Source organism: Homo sapiens, chromosome 2 (assembly GCF_000001405.40).
Source record: "Homo sapiens chromosome 2, GRCh38.p14 Primary Assembly".
Lineage (NCBI taxonomy): Eukaryota > Metazoa > Chordata > Mammalia > Primates > Hominidae > Homo > Homo sapiens.
In genome coordinates this window covers 157,540,307-157,566,613 of record NC_000002.12, presented here as the reverse complement: position 1 = coordinate 157,566,613, position 26,307 = coordinate 157,540,307, and the positions used below count along the sequence as shown (strand labels likewise).

General features: G+C 38.3%; 1 protein-coding gene across 4 annotated transcripts in view; it reads left to right on the top strand.

Moving 5' to 3' along the window:
* ACVR1C (activin A receptor type 1C) overlaps nucleotides 1–26,307 on the top strand; it is a 102,098-nt gene that overhangs the window by 62,251 nt on the left and 13,540 nt on the right. For 2 of the 4 annotated variants that reach the window (NM_145259.3, NM_001111031.2), the window contains exons 3-7: nucleotides 10,282–10,521; nucleotides 16,222–16,452; nucleotides 22,002–22,169; nucleotides 23,752–23,908; nucleotides 25,400–25,524. In NM_145259.3, the coding sequence (NP_660302.2) occupies nucleotides 10,282–10,521; nucleotides 16,222–16,452; nucleotides 22,002–22,169; nucleotides 23,752–23,908; nucleotides 25,400–25,524 (921 nt within the window). The remainder of the gene's footprint in view (nucleotides 1–10,281; nucleotides 10,522–16,221; nucleotides 16,453–22,001; nucleotides 22,170–23,751; nucleotides 23,909–25,399; nucleotides 25,525–26,307) is intronic. The other 2 variants (NM_001111032.2, NM_001111033.2) reach the window with 2 other exon arrangements.

The window sequence follows — 26,307 nt, the reverse complement described above, 5'->3', positions numbered from 1 at the left end:
TTCCAGGTGCGTCCATCACCCCTTTCTTTGACTCAGAAAGGGAACTCCCTGACCCCTTGTGCTTCCCAGGTGAGGCAATGCCTCGCCCTGCTTCGGCTCGCGCACGGTGGGCACACACACTGGCCTGCGCCCACTGTCTGGCACTCCGTAGTGAGATGAACCCGGTACCTCAGATGGAAATGCAGAAATCACCCGTCTTCTGCGTCGCTCACGCTGGGAGCTATAGACCGGAGCTGTTCCTATTCGGCCATCTTGGCTCCACATTCCCACTAGCTAGCATAGACTTTAGGACAGAGAAGTATAACTTGCCCTTGTCATCAGTATTTTAAGTGTCTTCTGTGAATATAGCTCTGTACTATGTGCTGGGGAAACAGAGAGATTGAGATATGGGTGCTGCTTCCAAAGACTTTCTTTTTTTATGTAAAGGGTTGATTTAAGAAAAAAAGAACTCTAAAATATTTCTTGAATAATTACTATCTAAGTTATTTACAGACATGCATTATTTGAGAATATGTGTTTTGATAACAGAGATTAAGAGACTATCATTTCTGCTAGGTATGTGTCCTGAAATTAAGAAAACTGATTATGGAACTTATTTATATTCTGCTTACATTTTATTAAGCTTACCTCTGCTTGAGTGAAAGTTCTTTATACTTTTTATGACAGCGATTATATTCCTTAATCCAAGATTCTTGTTTCTTTAAAGCGTAAAAATGTTATTCTTCTTAAATTCCAATGCTAATGGATAAAAGAAGATTTGCAGCCTCTTGATGTTCATCATCTACTCCCAGAAAACCAGCAACACAAGGAGAACATGTCCAGGAAATATTTTTGTGTGTGGCACTCCCTGTCAGCTATAAAATTATGAAACCTGGCCAGATGAAGATCGTTTATGCAAATAGCCGTTTATAGACTGAGCATCAAACAGTGGAATGGCCCATCAATAGCTCGTTTGATTCAGTTAAAAGGGAGAAATAATTGTCATGTTATTTCTGCCTCTATCATGGCTTGATTTGATCTCTGGATTAGAAAATCTTCTGTCCTTATTCAGTATATAAGGTTCATATTGATCCCAGATAACCCCTCTGACATAATTATGTTTGCTGTTTGCAAAAGGGAGGCCATTTGCTGCATGGCAAATGGAGCATGTTGGAGGGATCTAAGCGAATTAACTTGTAATTGGATGATTCTTGGTGAAATTTACAATGGTCACTACGAAGAAGTGACCATTGTAAGGGAAGGGAGTCAAGGATGGGAGAGTGGAGGGGGTGTCTGCCTGCAACCAGTAAGTGCAGATTCACACGGGAGGACTAGACAAAAAAAGTTGATGTTTGTGACTTAGCTCCTTAGCCCATTCTACTTCAAATTCCTATCAAAGTGCAGTTATGTATTCTTTTATGTTGGACTGATTCATCATGAATGGAATATCTCGTGATAATCTTTTTCTTATTTCCCTCCTCCCCCACTCTTTTTTTTTATTTTTAAAAGAATTTTACTTTAAATTCTGGGATACATGTACAGAACGGGCAGGTTTGTTACATAGGTATACGTGTGCCATGGTGCTTTGCTGCACCTATCAACCCATTATCTAGGTTTTAAGCCCCGCATGCATTGGCTATTTGTCCTAATGCTCTCCCTCCCATTACCCTCCACCCCCTGACAGGTCCCGGTGTGTGTGTGTTCCCCTCCCAGTGTCCATGTGTTCTCATTGTTCAACTCCCACTTAATAAGTGAGAATATGTGGTGTTTGATTTTCTGTTGCTGTATTAGTTTGCTGAGGATGATGGCCTCCAGCTTTATCCATGTCCCTGCAAAGGACATGATCTCATTCCTTCTTATGGCTGCATAGTATCCCATGGTGTAGATGTACAACATTTTCTTTATCCAGTCTATCATTGATGGGCATTGGGGTTGGTGCCATGTCTTTGCTATTGTAAATAGTGCTGTATTAAACATATGTGTGCATGTGTCTTTAGAGTAGAATGGTTTATATTCCTTTGGGTATATACCCAGTAATGGGATGCCTGGGTCAAATGGTATTCCTGGTTCTAGATCCTTGAGGAATTGCCACACCGTCTTCTACAGTGGTTGAGCTAATTTACATTCCTACCAATAGTGTAAAAGTGTTCCGATTTCTCCACAGTCTCGCCAGCATCTATTGTTTCTTGACTTCATAATCACCATTCTGACTGGCATGAGATGGTATCTCATTGTGGTTTTGATTTACATTTCCCTAATGATTAATGATGTTGAGCCTTTTTCATATGCTTGTTGCCTGCATAAATGTCATCTTCTGAGAAGTGTCTGTTCATATCCTTTGCCTACTTTTTGATGGGATTTTTTTCTTGTAAACTTGTTTAAGTTCCTTGTAGATTCTGGATACTGGACCTTTGTCTAATGGGTAGATTGCAAAAATTTTCTTCCGTTCTGTAGGTTACCTGTTCACTCTGATGATAGTTTCTTTTGCTGTGCAGAAGCTCTTAGTTTAATTAGATCCTATTTGTCAATTTTGGCTTTTGTGGCAATTGCTGTTGGCATTTTCATCACGAAATCTTTGCCCATGCCTATGTCCTGAATGGTATTGCTTAGGTTTTCCTCTAGGGTTTTTATGGTTTTTGGTTTTACATTTAAGCCTTTAATCCATCTTGAGTTAATTTTTGTATAATGTGTAAGGAAGGGATCCAGTTTTAGTTTTCTGCATATGGCTAGCCAGTTCTCCCAGTACCATTATTAAATAGGGAATCTTTTCCCCATTGCTTGTTTTTGTCAGGTTTGTCAAAGATCAGATGGTTGTAGATGTGTAGTGTTATTTCTGATGTCTCTGTTCTGTTCCATTGGTCTATATGTCTGTTTTGGTACCAGTACCATGCTGTTTTGGTTACTGTAGCCTTGCAGTATAGTTTGAAGTCAGGTAGCATGATGTCTCCAGCTTTGTTCTTTTCACTTAGGATTGTCTTGGCTATACAGGCTCTTTTTTGGTTCCATATGAAATTTAAAGTAGTTTTTTCTAATTCTGTGAAGAATGTCAATGGTAGTTTGATGGGAATAGCATTGAATCTGTAGATTAATTTAGGCAGCATGGCCATTTTCACGATATTGATTCTTCCTATCCATGAGCATGAAATGTTTTTACATTCGTTTGTGTCCTCTCTTATTTTCTTGAGCAGTGGTTTGTAGTTCTCCTTCAGGGTCCTTCACATTCCTTGTTAGCTGTATTCCTAGGTATTTTATTCTCTCTGTAGCAATTGTGAATAGGAGTGTATTCTTAATTTGGCTCTCTGCTTGTCTATTGTTGGCATGTAAGAATGCTTGTGATTTTTGCACATTGATTTTGTATCCTGAGACTTTGCTGAGGTTGTTTATTAGCTTAAAGAGTTTTTGGGCTGAGGTGATGGGGTTTTCTAAATATAGAATTATGTTATCTGCAAACAGACAATTTGACTTCCTCTCTTCCTATTTGAATACGCTTTATTTCCTTCTGTTGCCTGATTGCCCTGGCCAGAACTTCCAATACTATGTTCAATAAGACTGGTGAGAGAGAGCATCCTTGTTTTGTGCTGGTTTTCAAAGGGAATGCTTTCAGCTTTTGCCCATTCAGTATGATATTGGCTGTGGGGTTGTCATAAATAGCTATTATTATTTTAACATATGTTCCATGTATACCTACTTTATTGAGGGTTTTTAATATCAAGGGATGTTGGATGTTATAGAAGGCCTTTTCTGCTTCTATTGAGATAATCATGTGGTTTTTGTCATTGGTTTTGTTTATGTGATGGATTACATTTATTGATTTGCGTATGTTGAACCAGCCTTGCATCCCAGGGATGAAGCCGACTTGATCGTGATGGTTAAACTTTTTGATGTGCTACCGGTTTGCTTAGCAGTATTTTATTGAGGATTTTTGCATTGATGTTCATCAGGGATATTGGCCTGAAGTTTTCTTTTTTTGTTGTGTCTCTGCCAGGTTTTGGTATCAGGATGATGCTGCCCTCATAAAATGAGTTAGGGAGGAGTCCCTCCTTTTCAATTGTTTGGAATAGTTTCAGAAGGAATGGTACCAGCTCCTCTCTGTACGTCTGGTCCTGGGCTTTTTTATTTTATTTTATTTTATTTTATTTTATTTTATTTTATTTTATTTTATTTTATTTTATTTTTTTGGTTGGTAGGCTGTGTATTACTGCCTCAATTTCACAACTTGTTATTGGTCTATTCAGGGATTCAGCTTCTTCCTGGTTTAGTCTTGGGCCTCCTCACCCAATCTTAAAGTTTTCCATATAATATATGTATATATTTTATATATATATATATTTTTTTTTTTTTGAGACGGTGTCTTGCTCTGTCATTAGGCTGCAGTGCAGTGGCGCGATTTCAGCTCACTGCCACCTCTACCTACTGGGTTCAAGCGATTCTTCTACCTCAGCCTCCCAAGTAGCTTGACTAGAGGCACGCGCCACCATGCCCGGCTAATTTTTTGTATTTTTCGTAGAGACAGGGTTTCACTATGTTGGCCAAGATGGTATTGATCTCTTTACCTCATGATCCGCCCACCTCGGCCTCCCAAAGTGCCAGGATTACAGGCGTGAGCCACCGCACCCAGCCTTCTCCATATTTTCACTTGTGAAGTTGCTTGGGAATTGTTCTCTAGATGGGTCACATATTACATAGTAGATCTTAAATTCCACAAGGTTGTGGACTCTGCCCTGCTTTTCTGGCATTTCCTCTGGAGAGTTTTTCTCAGTCAATGCATACAAAGCAATCCATTTGGAGCTAATCTTTGAACCAACTTAGTAAAGCATCAAGAAACCAGTTAGAAATGTGTTCTCATTAACATCTAGCAAATATTGGAAATAATGGTACCCACATTTTAGGATGCTGTGAAGTGGCAGGTTAAGGGAGGTTCATCATGATGATTTGGGAGATTTCTCATTGCTTAACATGTCACTCTGTTTTTTACAAAAAGCAATTATTCCTATTGAACTAATAAACGAGCTAGCTTTGAATGTTGTAGTGGTAGTGTGTTCTCTCTTCTATTTCAGCTGTACATATTATTTCCACTTATTTTCCCCCAGAAACCTGTGAAGTAAATAAAGACTCTTTAATTGAATTCACAGGAGTGTGTCATAGGTTTATAGGGATGGATGGACAGAACATCATCACGTCATTCAGTTGACAGTGGTGGAATTTCTCCCAGGTGCCAGGATAGAAACAGACCCATCAAAAGGCATCTCCAGCAATATTCCCTTTTGGTTGGTGTGTTACCTGAGAACATTTCAAAGTCACAAGCTGGAGAAAGAAATGCTTTCTTTTTTATGCGTGAAGTAGAGTGAGAAAGCAGTTGAAGACTTGATATTAATAGTTATACCTCCATGAAATTGACCTTGCAAAATGTTATCTTTTTACTTGGGAAAAACTATTAATAAAAGGAGGGGGATTGGTTTTAATGCAAAATGACAGTGACTTTTGGGATGGAAGCACTAACCTTGAAAGGTTTTACAAGAATGGACTTTGTTTGGATGAAGGTCTCTGTTTTTTCTTTGTTTGTTTGTTTCTAAACAATTTTCCAGCAGCACATATCTCTTCACTCCCTCTATTCTCAGAGGGTTTCTAATATGTCACTCCATTGTAATGCCTTGGTTTTTAGTCAGCTGATTACCATTTTAATATAGTGGGGAATGTGTCTGTAATTTGAAATGTAGATATTATACCAGAAGATTTCCATGCCAGTAGTCCATATGAATTATTTGAAGCAATTGATCAAGTACGTACCTCCACTTCTAAGTGTGAGCAAAAGTTCTGAGAAGTAATTTAGAGGAAAGATATTTTATTCTAGTAAACAGTTTGCAAACTGGGGAGAAATAGCCCTCAGCTTAAACTGAAGGTGCATTTCAGAGAACAAAGGCAGGGTTTGTCTGGCTTTTATAGAGAAAGTTCCCATTTAGGTTTTCAGTCAGGTCCTCCTATGAAAAATGAAAGATTAGAACTTGCTTAGTTCAGATTGGTTGATGCAGCTGAGTTCTGATTGGTTGATGCAGGCCACAGCCTATTGGTTGATTCAGGTAACATGGGCAAGAACAGTTAATTATGAAAGTTTCAAAGTTAAGCAGTTGTATGGCTTTTCTGGGAACTCAGAGTATGTGCGTAACCTCTAGTCAGCAAATGGCCACTTGGTTCCGTTTTAAATTTAGGCCCCGTTTACCACTCAGGATTCATCTTGAGGGATTGACTTTCTCAGGTTCACATAGCCATCTCCTTCTTATAGCATATGCTAAAGAAATGTAAATTAATTAATTTGAAGGTCATGTAAATCTCATAAACATCAATATTTTTTCATACCTTCAATAAAGAAGGAGCAGAGAAGGAAATGTGGGGATCATGCCTACATTGTCTTATCTTTTTCTTTTCATCTTGAGGCTCTCCTTAAAGCAAGAAATAGGAAGTAGTGAGGAGGTAATGGGAATAGTAAACTGTTCTGGGAGAAGCTGATGCATTTAAACTAAGTCTTCACTTGGGCAGTGGCAACCACCAGTGACTTTCACAATCACCAGGTCCACGCAGGTCTCCAGGGAGAGTTGCAAAACTCACAAAGATAAATTAAAATTTCCTTCCTTCCTTCCTTCGTTTCCTCCCTCCCTCCCTCCTTTTCTTCCTTCCCTCCCTGCCTCCTTGCTTCTCTCTCTCTTTCCTTTTTCCTTCCTTCTTCCTTCCTCTTTCCTTCCTTCCCTCTCTCCTTCTCTCCCTTCCCCCTTTTCTTCCTGCTGTCTTGTTAATAATTCCTTCCCTTGCATTTTCTCAGTTTAACATATTGTAGGGCTTATTTGGGGAAATATTCGTCAGCCAGGCCCTCACCTTTATGGGTTAGTGCTTTTCTCTCATTTTCCCCATCCTCTTCAATCTAATTTTCTAAGGAGTGAAATCACTTGAATTAACAATGCAGCACTCCTCCCACCTCACTTTTGGGATTTAACGTGTCCCCCCATGGAGCTGCTAATTCCATGGAGAATGCATCTCACTTGGCACAGAAAATCCCCTAAATTGCAAAGCATCAAATAATAAGAGCTTTCCTGTGATCAAGAATTTAAAACCTGCTAGAAAAATTAATATGTTCATCAAAGTTAATGATTATTGAAACGTATTCTTAGCTGCATGATTGTTTTCTTGTACCCTGATTCGCTGGATGTAGACTACAGTTTTTTTTTTCATTTATCCCCCCTAGGGATTATCATCAGCATTAGGTTTAAAGCATAGTTTTACAAATGTTTGCTTTTAAAATTCCTCAGTGTTTAAGGAGTTCTTACTGAATGGTGTTGCTAGACTTTTTCTAGCTGAGTAATCTTTTTTCCTTACTGACTCATATCGGTAAATTTGTTCACAAAAGTAGAAACATTGTTCATCTATAATAAACATCTCTGAGAGCCATAGCCATCACTAGAGCAGTGCACTTTTATGGAGATTATTCTATTTTTAGGGTTGCTGACCTTTTGCTTTTTTATTAGTTGCTATAGTGATGATCTGAGCTCTGCCTAATAGAGCTTTACAAAAATGATGACGATCAATAAGCTTGTTAATGCTAATGTTTATATTGATGGTTCCCAATAACACGTATCAAAATAAAATTTAGTCATGTAAATGTATTCAGTAGTGGAATTGTGTATTTAAAAACACATTTTAAATAGATGTTTATGTAAGATGCAGGAGATTAAATGCATTCTGTGGCTTTTTTAGAAAAACTAGAATACCTTTGTGCAGACATAAAAATATGGAGACAGTTTGAAAGATCATTGTGAAATACACAATAAAATCATTTTATAACAGCAAACTTCAGAAGTTGGAAGTACCATGGCTAATGATTACTAAAGCAAAGTCAAGTCAGATAATTCTTTTAGTACCTATTCTAAGAACACTCTAGACCAATTTCTCCTCATATGCACCTGTATAACTACTAATGATTTCAGAGGAATTCCGAAACACTCAGGGGAAGAAAAGTTGGTAATCAGTTAAAATTCATCAGGCAAAGTAGCAGAACAGCACAGATTATGATTGTTTCTGAAGTTCACTTAACAATTTTAAATCTTTTACTTACTGATAATAGATAAACTACTATCTTTGGCATTATAGTGAAATTTCTATGAACACATTTGTGAGGAATTTGATTCTTTTTCCTTCAGAATTAAATAATATTTGTTTTCAAATGATAGTCATGTATTTTTTGACACATTGTAGGTAAAGTGCAAGAACGTCTAAGATATTAAGCTCTTTAGCATTGTCAGTGCAAAGAGGACATCTGGAGAATGGCGAAACTATCAAGGCCCGTTATCATTGCAATTTGTTTAGATGCTAAGGTGCTGGTGTCAAGCTATTGCTTTCCAAGCATAGTCTCCCATTCTTTCTCTGTCCTGTGAAGAATCATCTGGGGAGGCAGTTTGCCAAAGGTTCACAGCAAGAAGATGGTAGCCCACAGGTGGAAGTGGTTTCTCTCTCTCTAGAACCTGGATTCCTCTCCTTCTCCTTGATGTTTTGAGAACCTAAGTCTCCTCTAGGAGACTCTGCTCCCATAGTCTATCAAATATGCTCTAAGATTTATTAAAAACAAAAATCAACACCACAGTAGTAGGACAAGGGGATGAAATGGGATTGATGCAGAGGCTATCTTTAGTCAACGAAAAGGAAATGAACAATGTGTCAGTTTCAAGTGTCAAAATAACTTCTTTGAAAAACACAGGAAATTATCTGTCATCATAGATTTTTCATGTATCACTTTTTTTCTAAATTAAAAAAAGATTTCTTAAATGCAAGATGAAGTTTAAGCAAAAAAATTGGCTTCATGTGTTTTTAAAATTAGAATCACAAATTTAATTATATCCTTATGTTACTTGGTTTCAATGATCACATTTATTTTTCTAAAATGAAAAGTCTTGTCTCTTATAGGAATACCACTAGTAGAACTTTTAGTGATTCTGTCATTTGAGAACTATTTACTGATCATCTACTATGTGTCAGGCATCATTGTAAACACTGGACATATGGCTGGGAACAAAGCAGGCAAACTTCTTCCTCTCCCGAAGCTTATGTCCTCTGGAGGGAATTGGGTAATCAATAAATGAGTATATGATGTGTCAGGTGGTGATCAGAGCTAGGAATTAAAATCAAGCAGGACAAGGGTCTTGAGAGTGTACAGGGAATGGGAAATAAGTGCTATTTTAGGTAAGGTTGTCAGCCAACACCACGGTCTCCCAACTGTCTTCTTGCATTAGGTTTCTAATTGGCCTATTCACTTTTATTCTTGCTTCTCTAGTGTCTATTCACACAGCGGCCACTCAGAATAAAAGTTAGATCGTGTCTCTCACCTACCAAAACCCTGAAACAACTTTTTAGAATAAAATTCACAGTCCTTTCCTTAATCCTTTTCATCCCACCATCACTCCTTCTTTCTTCCCTGCTTTTTTTTTTTTGTAGCACCATTCTTTCTTGCTTTTGTGTTAAACATCTGTTTAGTAGATGAATGAGAACATATATGACTCAAGAACAGGAATTTGGGCTCTTTCCTCACCATTGTATCTCCAGTACCTGGAATAGCAGCAACACATTGCAAGAGCCCAATAATTATTTTGGCATGAAAGAATGAATGTACATGCTTTAAAAGAGGACTGCTGTGGCCAGGCATGGTGGCTCACGCCTGTAATCCCAGCACTTTGGGAGGCTGAGGTGGGTGGATCACCTGAGGTCAGGGGTTTGAGACCAGCCTGGCCAACATGGTGAAACCCTGTCTCTATAAAAATAGAAAAATTAGCTGGGCATGGTGGTGGGCACCTGTAATCTCAGCTACTCAGGAGGCTGAGGCAGGAGAATGGCTTGAACCTAGGAGGTGGAGGTTACAGTGAGCCCAGATCGCACCACTGCACTCCAGCCTGGGTGATCGAGTGAGACTCCATCTCAAAAAAAAAAAAAAAAAAAAAAAAGTGTACTGCTGAATAATGGAGGGAAAATAGTAGACAGAAAAGAGTGAAATGCTTCAGAGATCCTAAAACAGATCCCATGTGCTAGTTTCCATTATCCTAATCATATTTCTTATTGTCATCTGCCATAACCATTCCTAGCTGCAGCCTAATCTCATTTTTTTTCTCCATCTTTGCTTATACCACAGAGAGCCTTTACCAATGAACATAAGTGCATACTGTGTAGCTGAATATTCTGGATGTGAAATTTTGGTGATTGCAATTCCAATTCCAAAAATACTTAAAATGGTTTGATTTATGGTCATGTTCTTTCTTCTTTAAACTGTAGCATCACCAAATGCCCCAAAACTTGGACCCATGGAGCTGGCCATCATTATTACTGTGCCTGTTTGCCTCCTGTCCATAGCTGCGATGCTGACAGTATGGGCATGCCAGGGTCGACAGTGCTCCTACAGGAAGAAAAAGAGACCAAATGTGGAGGAACCACTCTCTGAGTGCAATCTGGTAAATGCTGGAAAAACTCTGAAAGATCTGATTTATGATGTGACCGCCTCTGGATCTGGCTCTGGTATGTTACCATTGTCCATTTTTTTAAAATAAGAAAACACTTTTATTTAAAAGTAAATAAAAACTTTTTAACAAAAAGGGCCCAAATATTATGAATTCCGTCTTGAAAGGATACATGGTGAGCTCTGGTATAGGAACTCCTTTTAGTACCTGAGGAAGAGAAAAACCATCGTGGCCTATAGAATTAAGTCTTCTCAGTTGCTTTTTGTAGCTTTAGGTGTTCAGATTCTTACATTCACTTTCCTTCAGAATTTATTTCTGAAGCAAAAAAGCAATTTCCCTTCTCTCCTCCCTGCTTCCCCCCATTATGGTTACTAACAATCACTGTTGCTTTGTTGATAATGTTTTATGGACACAAAAGAGTTAGGGTTGTGGTATTTAAGGTGTTGAGTTCTGAGGGAAAGATGTTGGTTATACAAAGTAGTGTTCTTTGAGCTCTTTTGCTTGTGGGTATGAGGATTTTCAGAATCTATAGACACCCCCTGAGATGTGTGTGAAGCTAACAGGGAACTCACCTAAAATTAAATCAAGAATATGTTCTTAAAGCAAAGAAACAGAAGATTAAAGAGAGCAGTGCAGCATTCCTGTGCTGGCTTTTGCTGGCTGTGGTTACATACATGACTGTCTTCCTCTTTAATGGAACTCCAGAACCCCAGGTAAAGCGTTCAAAGTACCGGCCGGGCGCGGTGGCTCACGCCTGTAATCCCAGCACTTTGGGAGGCCGAGGCGGGTGGATCATGAGGTCAGGAGATCGAGACCATCCTGGCTAACAAGGTGAAACCCCGTCTCTACTAAAAAATACAAAAAATTAGCCGGGCGCGGTGGCGGGCGCCTGTAGTCCCAGCTACTCGGGAGGCTGAGGCAGGAGAATGGCGTGAACCCGGGAAGCGGAGCTTGCAGTGAGCCGAGATTGCGCCACTGCAGTCCGCAGTCCGGCCTGGGTGACAGAGCGAGACTCCGTCTCAAAAAAAAAAAAAAAAAAAAAAAAAAAAGCGTTCAAAGTACCAGGCTGTATTATAGCCTAAATGAGCCTTTCTCACAACACAAAGCATTTGAAGGTTTTTTATTTTTATTTTTATTTTTTATTTTTTTATCTTTTGGCAGGAGGTTGGCGGAGTGGGGGGACAGTTTTCCCCAGAATAACAAACTCCCTAAAATGGTAGGGGATTCCATATATATATATATCCAGAAATCCTGCCAGCTCATGGTTTATGAAAATACGAACAAGAGTAACCCTAGGTGAGCCACTTCAGAGGCCCCTGCATCTCTTCTTGTTTTGGAAGGATCATTAAGATAGTAGCCCAACATTCTGAAGAACTCCCTTGCCAATGGCTTTCGGGAAAATCCAGGCAGTAACAATTAACAGAGGTAGGCAACAGAGGGCTGATAACATCTCTATGTGCATCCATATTTAGCATGAAGCTGCTTTGGATTCATCAGAAAAGAAAAGCATAATCAAACCCAGATAGTTCGCTCCTTCTGGGGCAAAATCACCTGGCCTCCCACTGACGAAGACTAAATGTTTACACCATCACTGTACACATTAGGTAGCATCTTTCAAAGGAAGAATACTGGTAAGAAAACCCCCAAACTGCAAAGTTTTAAAAACCAGAATTTAAATTAAAATAAATTATTGGCTAGACGACTGGCACCTTCCTTCCTTCCTTCCTTTGTCTCCTTCCTTCCTTCATCTCCTTCCTTCCTTCCTTCCCTCCCTCCCTCCCTTCTTTCTTTCTTTCTCTTTCTTTCTTTCTCTCTTTCTCTTTCTTTTTCTTTTTCTTTTCCTTTCTTTCTTTCTCTCTCTCTCTCTCTTCCTTCCTTCCTTTCTTTCTTTCTTTCTTTCTTTCTTTCTTTCTTTCTTTCTTTCTTTCTTTCTTTCTTTCTTTCTTTCTCTCTTCTTTATTTTTTTTTTTTCCAGATTCTCACCCTGTTACCTAGGCTGGAGTGCAGTGGTGCTATCTTGGCTCACTGCAACCTCTCCCTCCTGGATTCAAGTGATTCTCCTACCTGAGCCTCCTAAGTAGCTAGAATTACAGGTGTGCCCCACTACACCTGGCTAATTTTTGCATTTTTAGCAGAGATGGGGTTTCACCATGTTGGCCAGGCTGGTCTCAAACTCCTGAACTCAAGTGATCTGCCTGCCTTGGCCACCCAAAGTGCTGGGATTACAGGTGTGAGCCACTGCACCTGGCCACATTTTTCTTTAAAATTAAAACTTGTTGATATTCAATACTGTTTCCTTCTTTGACTCTGACACTTTGAGGCCCACTGTGCCCTGATTTCTTGAATATTGACAACATTCTAGGCACAGAGACCTCTGATTTATGGCAAGTTTCTTGAAACCTTATATAATTTCTTTATAAGGTTCAAGAGGTTAAATAACTCTCTGCTTAATCCCCATCCCCAAAACCATTTTAATTATCTGAAGATGTTAGATAAAAACGTGCATTTTGGAACTATTCCTTAAATACATTTAAGATAACCAAAGATTTTCCTTTCAAATGAAAGCAATTCAGATTTTAATGCTAGAGACTGGGATTTAGTTTGAGAAAGTAGTCATGGGCTAGGGCAGAAATCAAAAATTAATGTTACATTTTCTGGTGTTTTTTGCATGTTTAAACCTAAATCTGGAATTACTGATTCTGGACTCTCTCGTTTTCAGATTATTCTAAGATCTCTCATTTAAAAAAAAAAAAAGTAGTAAATGTACCCAAGCATGGATGATTTCTTTAAATACCAATCTGAAAGAGCTTTAGGCATTTTTCCCCCAAAGCCAGTTGCATACGTTTGGCAGTGACCAGTGGCTGAAAGTAACAGAAGGCCTCCCTGCCTTTGATAATCAGAGAATGGGTGTATCCGCAGTGAGGCTTCAGTCATAAAAGCTCACCTGTAGGGAGGGGATTGGAGGAGGGGGGAGTCTGATTCCCTCTGCTTTTCTTAATTGGCCAGTAACTTTAAATGTGAGACAGTTTGTCAGATGCTGAGGAACAAAAACTGTGAAGCGTATTCTTGACCTGGTCAGGGACAAATTTCAAAGACATGCATAATGCCTGCAAGAGGGGAAAATGGACTGATGAGAAATGATGGTGTCTCAGATGGCTTCCAAGAAACTGGGTAGGTTGCTGCTTTTCTCTTGTGGTGTAACAATTCTGACTGATGGTGACATTATTGAAAGCTAACCTTCTACACCCCCTGGTTAAAAGATTGAAATGAACCTACAGGGAGAAGCAAAAATCCATGTATCTTCAAATGAAATGTCTAGGTGCATAACAGAAGAATTAGATTCATTTTGGTGGTTGCTTTGAAAGATACCAAAGCAAATTTTATTGAGTTTTAATGTCTCAATTTAATTGCTGTCTCGAGTACTTTATATATTGTTGTCTTACTTTGTTCCTGATCTGCACCACTGATTATGTACTTGATTAATTTGCAGTTTGAAAGCATAAGCTTATCTAGCTCTCCATCCATTTGTTGTGTTTTGGGTAGTGCTGGTTGTTGGTAGTGATGTTTCTGTGAGTGTGCATGTATGTATGTGGATAAGACTATAGGTTAGCAGGAGGAAGGGAGAGACTGAGATTGAGATTTGGCCTAATAATTGTTAGCATAACTTTTAGTGTGTGGTCAAGTAGTAAAATTGATTGTTGCCTGCAAAAACAGTCCAGGCTGGTTGCAGTGGCTCACGCCTGTAATCCCAGTACTTTGGGAGGCCGAGGCAGGTGGATCACTTGAGGTCAGGAGTTCGAGACCAGCCTGGCCAACATGGTGAAACCTCTTCTCTACTAAAAATACAAAAATTAGCTGGGTATGGTGGTGCACACCTGTAGTCCCAGCTACTCAAGAGGCTGATGTGGGAGAATCGCTTGAACCTGGGAGGTGGAGATAGTAGTGAGCTGAGATCATGCCACTGCACTCCAGCCTGACAGAGCAAGACTCCATCTCAAAAAACAAACAAACAAACAAACAAAACAAACCAACAAACAAAAACAGTCTTATAGTTTGCTTCTAGACAGGAACAGTTTGCACTGAAGATCAGTGTTTTAGTTCTAGGTCTGCCTCTCACTAGCAGCATAATCCTGGGAAAGACTTTGATTATCGAGGGGCCTCAGTTTTGCCATCTCTAAAATGATAGGGTTGAACCAGATAATTTCAAAAGAACTTTCTTCCTGTAGGGTTTTGTGACTAATTGTTGAGATCCGTAACAGCAGATTTGTAGTCTGTGCTTATTTAGCCTGTGCTTATATGTCCATATGAGAACATGTGAATGAACAGTGACTAGTTTTAGGTGCAGGGACCAAAGCCCCTGCAAGACAGGGTCATTGCTATGAGGGTTCCCTAGCTGTCTGAGTACAAAAACAGTAACTAAATGTGACTTTTCAGAATAAATGTAGACTGTAACCTCTTTAACTATTTTTCCTTTGATTTTAAGAGCAATAAATATCAATTGTGGAAATTAAGAAAATGTGGAAAATTAGAAAGAAGACTATCATAACTCACCCCGGTTTCACCAAGAGAAATAACCATCATAACATTTAGCATGCTTCCTTTTGAGTCTTATTTTCTGTGCATATTTTGAATAGCTAGATACACTTATATTTATAAGAATAAAATGTACTATGCTGTTTTTATTTAATATTATAGCAAAAGTATTTTTTCATGTTATTAGATACTTCTTCATAAGCATCATCATTATTATTGGCTCTGAGTAAGCCATCCTAAGATTAACATAATGTTAACCATTATTGAACATGTAATATGCCAGATACTGTGCTAGGTGCTGAACATGCTTATTAATTCTCATATCATCTCTGCGAGATGCGTAATATTGATTATCCCCAGTTTTTCAGATGAAGAAGCTGAAGCGCAGACAGGTGAAATAACTTGTGCATGATTACCAGGTGGCAGAGCTGAAATCTGAATCCGCCTGTGCTCTTAATCTCTGCACTTTATTTCACAATTATTCCATTACCTGACACTTTTACTTATTTTATTCCTATAAATAATAATAAGATATTAAACATCTTGACATAAATTTTTCTACATTTTGCATTAAGTATTTGCGACAGAATTCTAGAGGTGGAGTTAGTAGTTCAAAGAATATAAGCGTTATACATACATTCAGGATATATTTTCTTTGAAAATTTTTTTTTGTTCTGCAGAAAATATTCATTTGATATCTTATTTGACTATATCTTGCTTTTAGTGTAATATCATTATCTCACATGATCATTGTATTTGATTCTTCACTTTCCAATTTGAGCTTGGTTTTTGAAAAAATTCACAAATAATTATTTTGCTCTTCCAGTTGTACCAGGAACCATACATTTTATTTTAGAGGCTAACACTTCTTTTTTTTTTTTTTGCTTTTACTCTTGTGTACTTAGTAACCTGACTGGCTTTGATGGGCAAATGAAGGAGATTTGCAGCAATTCTTGGAAATCAGATATCTGTAGCAGCAGGCTATGTTCAAAAAATTTTTACTTGTGAATACGACAAGACAAATTCATATTCATAATTTGAAGTATTTTTTTCAGCATGCTTTGACATTAAATAAGTTTGCTATAATGGTACTTATTCCTTCAAAATAGATAAAATTATTAAAGCATTTAAATGTTTGCTTTTTTAAAATCTGAAAACAGTGATTATTGAGAGTTCTTTTCTGACATTTGTGTTTAATTATCAATTCCATCTTTTCTTTGGTTAGGTCTACCTCTGTTGGTTCAAAGGACAATTGCAAGGACGATTGTGCTTCAGGAAATAGTAGGAAAAGGTAGATTTGGTGAGGTGTGGCATGGAAGATGGTGTGGGGAAGATGTGGCTGTGAAAATATTCTCCTCCAGAGATGAAAGATCTTGGTTTCGTGAGGCAGAAATTTACCAGACGGTCATGCTGCGACATGAAAACATCCTTGGTTTCATTGCTGCTGACAACAAAGGTATTTCCAATCTAATTGTGTTCAACAAGTAAAAAATGCTGTCTAGAGCGAGACTCTGTCTCAAAAAAAAAATGTTGTCTAGTATCAGATAAGAAAAAATAAATTCACCTCTTCTTTTTTTTTTTTTCCTTTTCCTTTTCTTTCTTTTTTTTTTTTTTTGAGACGTAATCTGGCTCTGTCACCCAGGCTGGAGTGCAGCGGCTCAATCTCGGCTCACCGCAAGCTCTGCCTCCCGGGTTCATGCCATTCTCCTGCCTCAGCCTCCCAAGTAGCTTGGACTACAGGCGCCCGCCACTACGCCTGGCTAATTTTTTTTTTTTTTTTTTTTTTTTGTATTTTTAGTAGAGACGGGGTTTCACCGTGTTAGCCAGGATGGTCTTGATCTCCTGACCTCGTGATCTGCCCGCCTCGGCCTCCCAAAGTGCTGGGATTACAGGCGTGAGCCACCGCACCCAGCCCGTCTCTTCGTTTTAAGAAAGTCTATATGAAAGTCTAATTTATATAAAATCCTTTCCTCTTTCCAACGGATAAATATACATAACCATACAATGAAGCAGGGCAAATGAGTGATGGGAAATCATGATGTCCAGATAGCCAGGGCGGTGCTTAAAATGTTTGCTGACTGGTTTGGTGCAGGAACCAACTAATCAGAACAGAAGCCTCAAGTAGAACAGAATCCTGGAGAACTCTGCCACGCCAGTTTTACCCATTAGTTGCTGCTTGGTCATGAAGAGATACGGAGGCATCAGGGTGTCTAGGGCAAAGGAGTATCATTGGAACTTTTTGTTTGTTTTATTGAGACAGAGTCTCACTATGTTGCCCAGGCTGGAGTGCAGTGGCACGATCTCAGCTCACTGCAACCTCCACCTCCTGGGTTCAAGCGATTCTCCTGCCTCAGCCTCCCAAGTAATCCCAAGTAGCTGGAACTACAGGTGCCTGCCACCATGCCTGGCTAATTTTTGTATTTTTAGTAGAGACAGGGTTTTCACTATGTTGGCCAGTCTGGTCTTGAACTCCTGACCTCGTTATCCACCCCCCTCGGCCTCCTAAAGTGCTGGATTTACAGGCTTGAGCCACCCCGCCTGGCCCAGGAGTTTTGAATAGCAGCTATTTACCAACCAGGACAGAAATATTTCAATATTTTAATAACCAATACAGACATACCAATTAATACTAGCTGAATGTTCAACTTTGTTAGGGCTGTATTTTTCATCCGTATGACAGCCTTCATCTTCAAGACTCAAATTTTCTGAAAATATTATCTCTTTTGATTGTATTAGAATACTGGCAAGTGAGACAATTTTAGTGAACTTTTCTATTAATGTTACTTTGAGCATGATTTGTATCTTGAGGCCACCATTAACGGTGCCAAGTAGTGTTTGTTATTTTTTGAGTTTCATGGAGCAAGTCAGAGCATCAGCTTTCTGATATTTAAAATAAGTACTTAGTTTTCCCAGCACCATTTATTAAATAGGGAATCCTTTCCCCATTGCTTGTTTTTCTCAGGTTTGTCAAAGATCAGATAGTTGTAGATATGTGGCGTTATTTCTGAGGGCTCTGTTCTGTTCCATTGATCTATATCTCTGTTTTGGTACCAGTACCATGCTGTTTTGGTTACTGTAGCCTTGTAGTATAGTTTGAAGTCAGGTAGTGTGATGCCTCCAGCTTTGGTCTTTTGGCTTAGGATTGACTTGGCGATGTGGGCTCTTTTTTGGTTCCATATGAACTTTAAAGTAGTTTTTTCCAATTCTGTGAAGAAAGTCATTGGTAGCTTGATGGGGATGGCATTGAATCTGTAAATTACCTTGGGCAGTATGGCCATTTTCACGATATTGATTCTTCCTACCCATGAGCATGGAATGTTCTTCCATTTGTTTGTATCCTCTTTGATTTCCTTGAGCAGTGGTTTGTAGTTCTCCTTGAAGAGGTCCTTCACATCCCTTGTAAGTTGGATTCCTAGGTATTTTATTCTCTTTGAAGCCATTGTGAATGGGAGTTCACTCATGATTTGGCTCTCTGTTTGTCTGTTGTTGGTGTATAAGAATGCTTGTGATTTTTGTACATTGATTTTGTATCCTGAGACTTTGCTGAAGTTGCTTATCAGCTTAAGGAGATTTTGGGCTGAGACAATAGAAAGCTGAAACTGGATCCCTTCCTTACACCTTATACAAAAATCAATTCAAGATGGATTAAAGACTTAAATGTTAGACCTAAAACCATAAAAACCCTAGAAGAAAACCTAGGCATTACCATTCAGGACATAGGCATGGGCAAGGACTTCATGTCCAAAACACCAAAAGCAATGGCAACAAAAGACAAAATTGACAAATGGGATCTAATTAAACTAAAGAGCTTCTTCACAGCAAAAGAAACTACCATCAGAGTGAACAGGCAACCTACAAAATGGGAGAAAATTTTCGCAGCCTACTCATCTGACAAAGGGCTAATATCCAGAATCTACAATGAACTCAAACAAATTTACAAGAGAAAAACAAACAACCCCATCAAAAAGTGGGCAAAGGACATGAACAGACACTTCTCAAAAGAAGACATTTATGCAGCCAAAAAACACATGAAAAAATGCTCACCGTCACTGGCCATCAGAGAAATGCAAATCAAAACCACAATGAGATACCATCTCACACCAGTTAGAATGGCAATCATTAAAAAGTCAGGAAACAACAGGTGCTGGAGAGGATGTGGAGAAATAGGAACACTTTTACACTGTTGGTGGGACTGTAAACTAGTTCAACCATTGTGGAAGTCAGTGTGGCGATTCCTCAGGGATCTAGAACTAGAAATACCATTTGACCCAGCCATCCCATTACTGGGTATATACCCAAAGGACTATAAATCATGCTGCTATAAAGACACATGCACACATGTGTTTATTGCGGCATTATTCACAATAGCAAAGACTTGGAACCAACCCAAATGTCCAACAATGATAGACTGGATTAAGAAAACGTGGCACATATACACCATGGAATACTATGCAGCCATAAAAAATGATGAGTTCATGTCCTTTGTAGGGACATGGATGAAATTGGAAATCATCATTCTCAGTAAACTATCGCAAGAACAAAAAACCAAACACCGCATATTCTCACTCATAGGTGGGAATTGAACAATGAGATCACATGGACACAGGAAGGGTAATATCACACTCTGGGGACTGTGGTGGGGTGGGGGGAGGGGAGAGGGATAGCATCGGGAGATATACCTAATGCTAGATGACGAGTTAGTGGGTGCAGCGCACCAGCATGGCACATGTCTACATATGTAACTAACCTGCACAATGTGCACATGTACCCTAAAACTTAAAGTATAATAAAGAAAAAAAATAAAATAAAATAAAATAAGTACTCATAAAATATTGTACCCATGCTTGTGTAATCACAGATTTGATATAAAATTCGTTGATTATCTATGCTTTTTCTCTTTTTTTTTACGAAATTGTTACTCATCTAACTGTTCATTAGTGCCCCTAATAGGTAACAAAAGTGAGGAAAACTTGATTCAGTCAACTTTTAAACTTTAGCTCCAGTTAGTAATACTCATGAAGAACTTTATGGTAGAGTCAAGATTGTAACCCCAATCTAAAAAAGGGTTAAGACAAATTATCTATTAATGTCAAGGATCCACCATTGCCTGTGAAAATTAAGAACCTATAGTTAATTTTATCTAATATAAACTTAATCATAAAAGTACTCATTATTAATTGGATGGAAAAAGAGAGGCTTAGCATTTAGCACACATTTTGGCCATAATTATGTTTACTGATGATTTGCCATTTCTGATTTGCTAAGCAGAAATGGGGTAAAGGCAAGATGGCTAACCAAAAAAGTTCTTTCCAAATTTGTAAATACATATACTTTGAAACTATATCCAGATCACTGAGGATGAGACATTTCTCATTTAGCTGTTAAGAATGTTTTCTTTTCCCTCCTAATCTTGAGCTGAACTGCCTACTGGTTGGATTAATCAGCAGTGCTGTCAAAGCAGTTATGACTGTACATGGATCATCTTCATGGGCTAGTTTAATCATGATGTTTATTGGATTATAAAATAATATGCATTGGCCAGGCACGGTGGCTCACACCTGTAATCCCAGCACTTCGGGAGGCCAAGGTGGGTGGATCACCTGAGGTCAGGAGTTCGAGATTAGCCTGGCCAACATGGTGAAACCCCGTTTCTACTAAAAATAAAAAATAAAAAAATTAGCTGGGCTTGGTGGCAGATGCCTGTAATCCCAGCTACTCAGGAGGTGGGGGCAGGAGAATTGCTTGAACCCAGGAGGCACAGGTTGCAGTGAGCCGAGATTGCGACACTGCACTCCAGCCTAAGCGACAGAGCGACATGCTGTCTCAAAAAAATGAATAAATAAAAATAAAATAATAGTAATAATAATATGCACAAGACATATTATCCTTGGTTTTCTCTTCTTGAGTTTAACTGGTCTACCTCTATCATCTCTTAACTTGTCAGTGGCTTTTTGCATGATTCCAAATGATCTCTAACTTCACTTTCATTTTTTAATTCCTTTACCTTTTGCAACATTGACAGTTTCACTCTTTAGTCAACTGTCTGACAAAAGCATTGATGTGAGAGGGCAAGATAGCCACTTGTGTCAATCAGGGAGAGAGGTGTGAGTAAGGGTTATTTTTATATGTTGTATGTTAATGAGCTTTACCATGTTATGTTGACTTTTAAATTCTTAGGAAATTTTATCACTACCCAGATTTGGAAATTAAATATTTGGATAACAAAGAGCTGTCATATATACAGCATCTGGCCAGATAGGTCCTTAGCAAATGTTCATTATAGATCCTTTCCCTGAGTGTCAGAACTGGTCAGGACTGCCCAGGGTTACTGTAGACATTTCATTTCAAAAGCTAAAGCTCACTCTACTAATATGTAGAAAAGTTTTAGAGTAATTTCTTTTCTAAAAGTCTTTTATAAGCTGGATTAGGTTTTGGCTAAATGAGGTAAATTATTTGAAAATGTCTAGTAATTGTGTTTGGCTCTTACTATAAGCTTTTGGGGAAAATAATCAACTCTATATTTTGAAAGGTGAATAACATCAACATTTTTAGAATGTTAGAGCTTTTATGATAGAAATAATACTTTGCATAAATTTGTTATATTTCTGATCTTTATTGGTATAATTTTTCTTAAAAGCTCAGAGTAGTTTATAACACACACTGAGCCTAAATGCATCTCTCAGTGGTTTCTCCTATAATGTGGTTACTATTGCCAGCAGGTATTGATACAGAGGAAATAAGAAAGGAGTTGTTCAGTTGTTAGAATCAATCACAACCTCACAACTTTCTATTTTTATGGTGGGCACATATAACAAGTTCCAACATATCAATATCTTCAGGAATTCATTGAGAATTTTTTCTTTACTAACTTGGACTGTAAGCATTACCACTGAAGCAATTAACTTTGCTTTGTTAACAATACAGATTAAACACTGATATTTTTAAAAGCTTTTGGCTTCTTTCTCAATATGTATTTACAACAACAAAATTACATTTTCTTGTTAGATAATGGAACTTGGACTCAACTTTGGCTGGTATCTGAATATCATGAACAGGGCTCCTTATATGACTATTTGAATAGAAATATAGTGACCGTGGCTGGAATGATCAAGCTGGCGCTCTCAATTGCTAGTGGTCTGGCACACCTTCATATGGAGATTGTTGGTACACAAGGTATGTATTTCCTTTTCATTTTTTTTCCACTTTGAATATGAGGATAGAGGTACTTAGTTATATTTTAATTTATTAGGAGTAATTAATTATTATTTCTTTAGGCTGGGCACGGTGGCTTATACCCATAATCCCAGCATTTTGGTAGTCTAGGTGAGAGGATCACTTGAGGCCAGGAATTTGAGACCAGCCTGGGCAACATAGTGAGATCTCCATCTCTACCAAAAAAAAAAAAAAAAAAAAAATCTGGTTGTGGTGGCACATGCCTTTAGTCCCAGCCACTTGGGAGGCTGAGGTGGGAGGATCACTTGAGCCTGAAAGGTCCAGGCTGCAGTGAGTTACGATTGCACCACTGCACTCTAGTTTGGGTGACAGAACGAGACCCTGTCTCAAAAAAAAAAAAAAAAAAAAAGTAAAGAAACAATAAAGGTAATTTTTAAAGCTAAAGGTATTGTCATGATATAGCCAACTCTCATCAGTTGCTCACTATTTTGTATCTTATCCATAATAATATTTTTAAAAATTTATTCCTAGTGGTTCTATCTTTGCCATTTAGCATATGTACCCAGAGATCTTGCTTTAATGGCAAATGTCCTATATCCAGAGAATACAAATAATTTAAATGTTTACCTTTGATAATTAAAAAGTAATTGGAAAGTATAATATGATTTTGAAAAAAATATTTGTATATCATGTACTTGAAGCTAAATAGTACCTACTGCCATTTCTATTTGTTGAGTTAAGAGGTTGGCTCTAGAGAGTCAATTAGTCTAGACAGGGCAGTGGTTCTCACATTTGAACTCATGATCTCTTTACACTCTTAAAATTATTGAGGACTACAAAGGTTTTTGTGTATGTAGCTTATCTCTATTACTATTTACAATATTAGAAATTAAAACTGAGGAATTTAAAAGTACTTATTAATTTGCTTAAAATAACCAATTAAATGTTAACATAAATATTTTAAATATAACAACTTTTTTTCTAATACAAAAACTGATTAAGTGAAAATAATGGTTTTGTTTTACATTGTTGCAAATCCCTTTAATGTCTGTTTTAATGTCTGGATTTTCATACCTGTTCTTCATTCTGTCTGTTCTCATATGTTGTTTTGGTTGAAATATGTGAAGAAAAGATGGCGTCACACAGATGCGTAGTTAGAAAAGAGTTGCAAGGACCTTGGGGATCTTTTGGCTACAATTGAGAACTGCTGGTGTGGGGTAATAGAAGTTTTCAGACTTATTTTGTAAAACAATATTTGCCATGTTCTTATGAGCACATAGCAGTACTAATTCTTTCCCCATCTATTAAAAAATGTTTATTAGTGATCTAGTCATCTAGTGCTCTAAGCAATAGAGGCATGGTGATGAACAAAACAGCTACTGTCCTTATTCGTTTACAGTTTATTTGGGAGAGACAGATGATTCAGCATGTACATAAATAAACAAGATAATTTAGATAGTGACAAGAGCTTTGAAGAAAACTCTTTTTGAATTAGCTCATTTTGAGCTAAGTCTTCAGGATGATTTCTCTTGAACAGTCTCCGGTAAAGAAAAAAATGAATATGTTCTTCTTTGCTTCATAGGTAAACCTGCTATTGCTCATCGAGACATAAAATCAAAGAATATCTTAGTGAAAAAGTGTGAAACTTGTGCCATAGCGGACTTAGGGTTGGCTGTGAAGCATGATTCAATACTGAACACTATCGACATACCTCAGAATCCTAAAGTGGGAACCAAGAGGTAAGACGACTGACTTGGGTAGCATAGTAAGATGTGAGAGTGCCCAATAAGCATGAATGTCCTCATGTGTGTGGAGGAGGCTCAGGTCCAAATAGGAAACCACTGGGCCCAAGAAATCCAGAAGTCTTCTCTGGGTCACTGAGAAGTTAGTGGGTGCAATGGTTATAAAGCAAGGAGAGCTGGCACTTTGGGCCATATGGATTGCAGCCATTTAGGTACAGAGTCCAGTGGAGAGAAATGATGGAAGAGATAGTAGTGTATTATTTTTAGTGTGCCATTTTCTGAGAATGCATTTTCCTACAGATAAGAAAAAAATGTCAGCAGTATGTAGCTCCTCCAAAGCCTTTATATCCCATAAATGAACTGAAACTCAGGACTAGTTCTACATACTCAGATTCTATACAACAGACACAGAATCAATATGTTGAAATAGATAGGTAGGGACTCTATATGCTGAATACACTTATGTGCTACTATATTCCCTTATTCTTTAAATATATTATATAACAATTTATGTATTACCTATATTTTTACTTATTATTAAATCTCCCAAATTGATATGTATTAAGATAATATGAATTTGGATACAATTCCCACTTTCAAGGAACAGAATCTCTGAAGATTAAGAATGAGCATGAAGTAACAACATATACCACACATGTGTCAGGTCAGGCCCATTAGGAATGGGATTTCTGGTGTTTTTCTTGCTATAGCCAGCCTGTGGCCATATGGCCAGCCTAGTTCCAATTATTTTTACTTGAATTTCAGGCTCTACATTACTTTGGCAAAATTCCAGAGTTCATGACCTTGAAATTAGAAACAACCAAACTATTTTCTTGGAGTTGTTAAAGGCCCTTGAGAGTAGAGAAATTCTAAGTTGCTATACCTGGCCTTCAAGCCGTATTTGAGATTCCAGGACAGTGCCTGTGAATGCCTCTTGTGATTCACTGGGAGACTTTCATAAGCCCCAGGAACACTTCCGGGCAGTTTATTCACACTGGGCAGCCCTAAGGAACTTCTTTTCCCTATACAAGAAAAGCCTTACCTTGCCCATCTGATTATCCCCACATCAGGAACCTTCAGGGAAGCCTTGGATGCTGGATTCCTTCAGGGGATCTAACACCCTTGCAAGAACTTGGGAGGGTGTTGCATCCTCACTTCAGTATTCTGGGAAATCTCCAAAATCTCCCTAGTACAGCAAGGCTCAGTCAGGCCCATGGACTGTAGATTTCTTATACTGACTCTTGTTCAAACATGGCTATATTTTTTTGGAGCCAATGTGTAATAAAATTGTTCACTGAGAGAAAGTATGGGTGGAGTGATGCTGAACACACTTGATGGTTGAGCCAATAATTATTCTTTAATTTTATTCTATTATAGTGCTTCAAATCTGCCTTTTAAAATGGCATAAGCTATCTTAATTTATTAAGATTGTTTTACTGGACTGCTATAAAGTCATAGACAGAATCTGAAATGTACATGTTTTTGAAGGTATATGGCTCCTGAAATGCTTGATGATACAATGAATGTGAATATCTTTGAGTCCTTCAAACGAGCTGACATCTATTCTGTTGGTCTGGTTTACTGGGAAATAGCCCGGAGGTGTTCAGTCGGAGGTAAAATTTTGGAAATATCCTTTGTGTTTGCCTTTCCTTGATACTCTGAATACAAGATGTGATATTCTATCTTTTTCCCCTAAGCACTATATTCAATCAGTTTCTTAGTATTTAAGAGAATACCTTTTGGTGATATATTTCCAGTGGCAAAAGTGGGATATCTTGCATGTAATGGAGATTTTATATTGTGATTACTGCTTAGTGGGGTGACAGTTCCCCTGATAATTTTTGTTTCCATGTGACACTTTATGAAGTACTTGAAAATTATTTGAGTTTGTAAGCTGTAAGCTGGTATTCCTAACTTATATCCCAAATAAGTTAAATGATTTGCTGAGGCAACAGGACTTGAAGGGTTCAGTTTCTTAAGCTTTTCTTGTTTTTTTCTTCCCTGTGATATGATAAATACTGTAGGGTTGGATAAAGGTATGGGAAGAGGTGGGCAAAGACAAACTTCCTACCTTTACTGCTCCCAGTAGTTTAGAACTTAATAATGCACCTGGGCGTGGTGACTCATGCCTGTAATCCCAACACTTTGGGAGGCTGAGGCGGGCGGATCACTGAGGTCGGGAGTTCGAGACCAGCCTGACCAACGTGGAGAAACCTGTCTCTACTAAAAATACAAAATTAGCCAGGCATGCCGGGCATGGTGGCTCATGAGCTGAGATTGCGCCATTGCACTCCAGCCTGGGCAACAAGAGCGAAACTCTGTCTCAAAAAAAAAAAAATGTACTTAATAATGAGAGGAAGAATTAGGGAGGGGGAAGCCCTGTAAATATGTCTGAT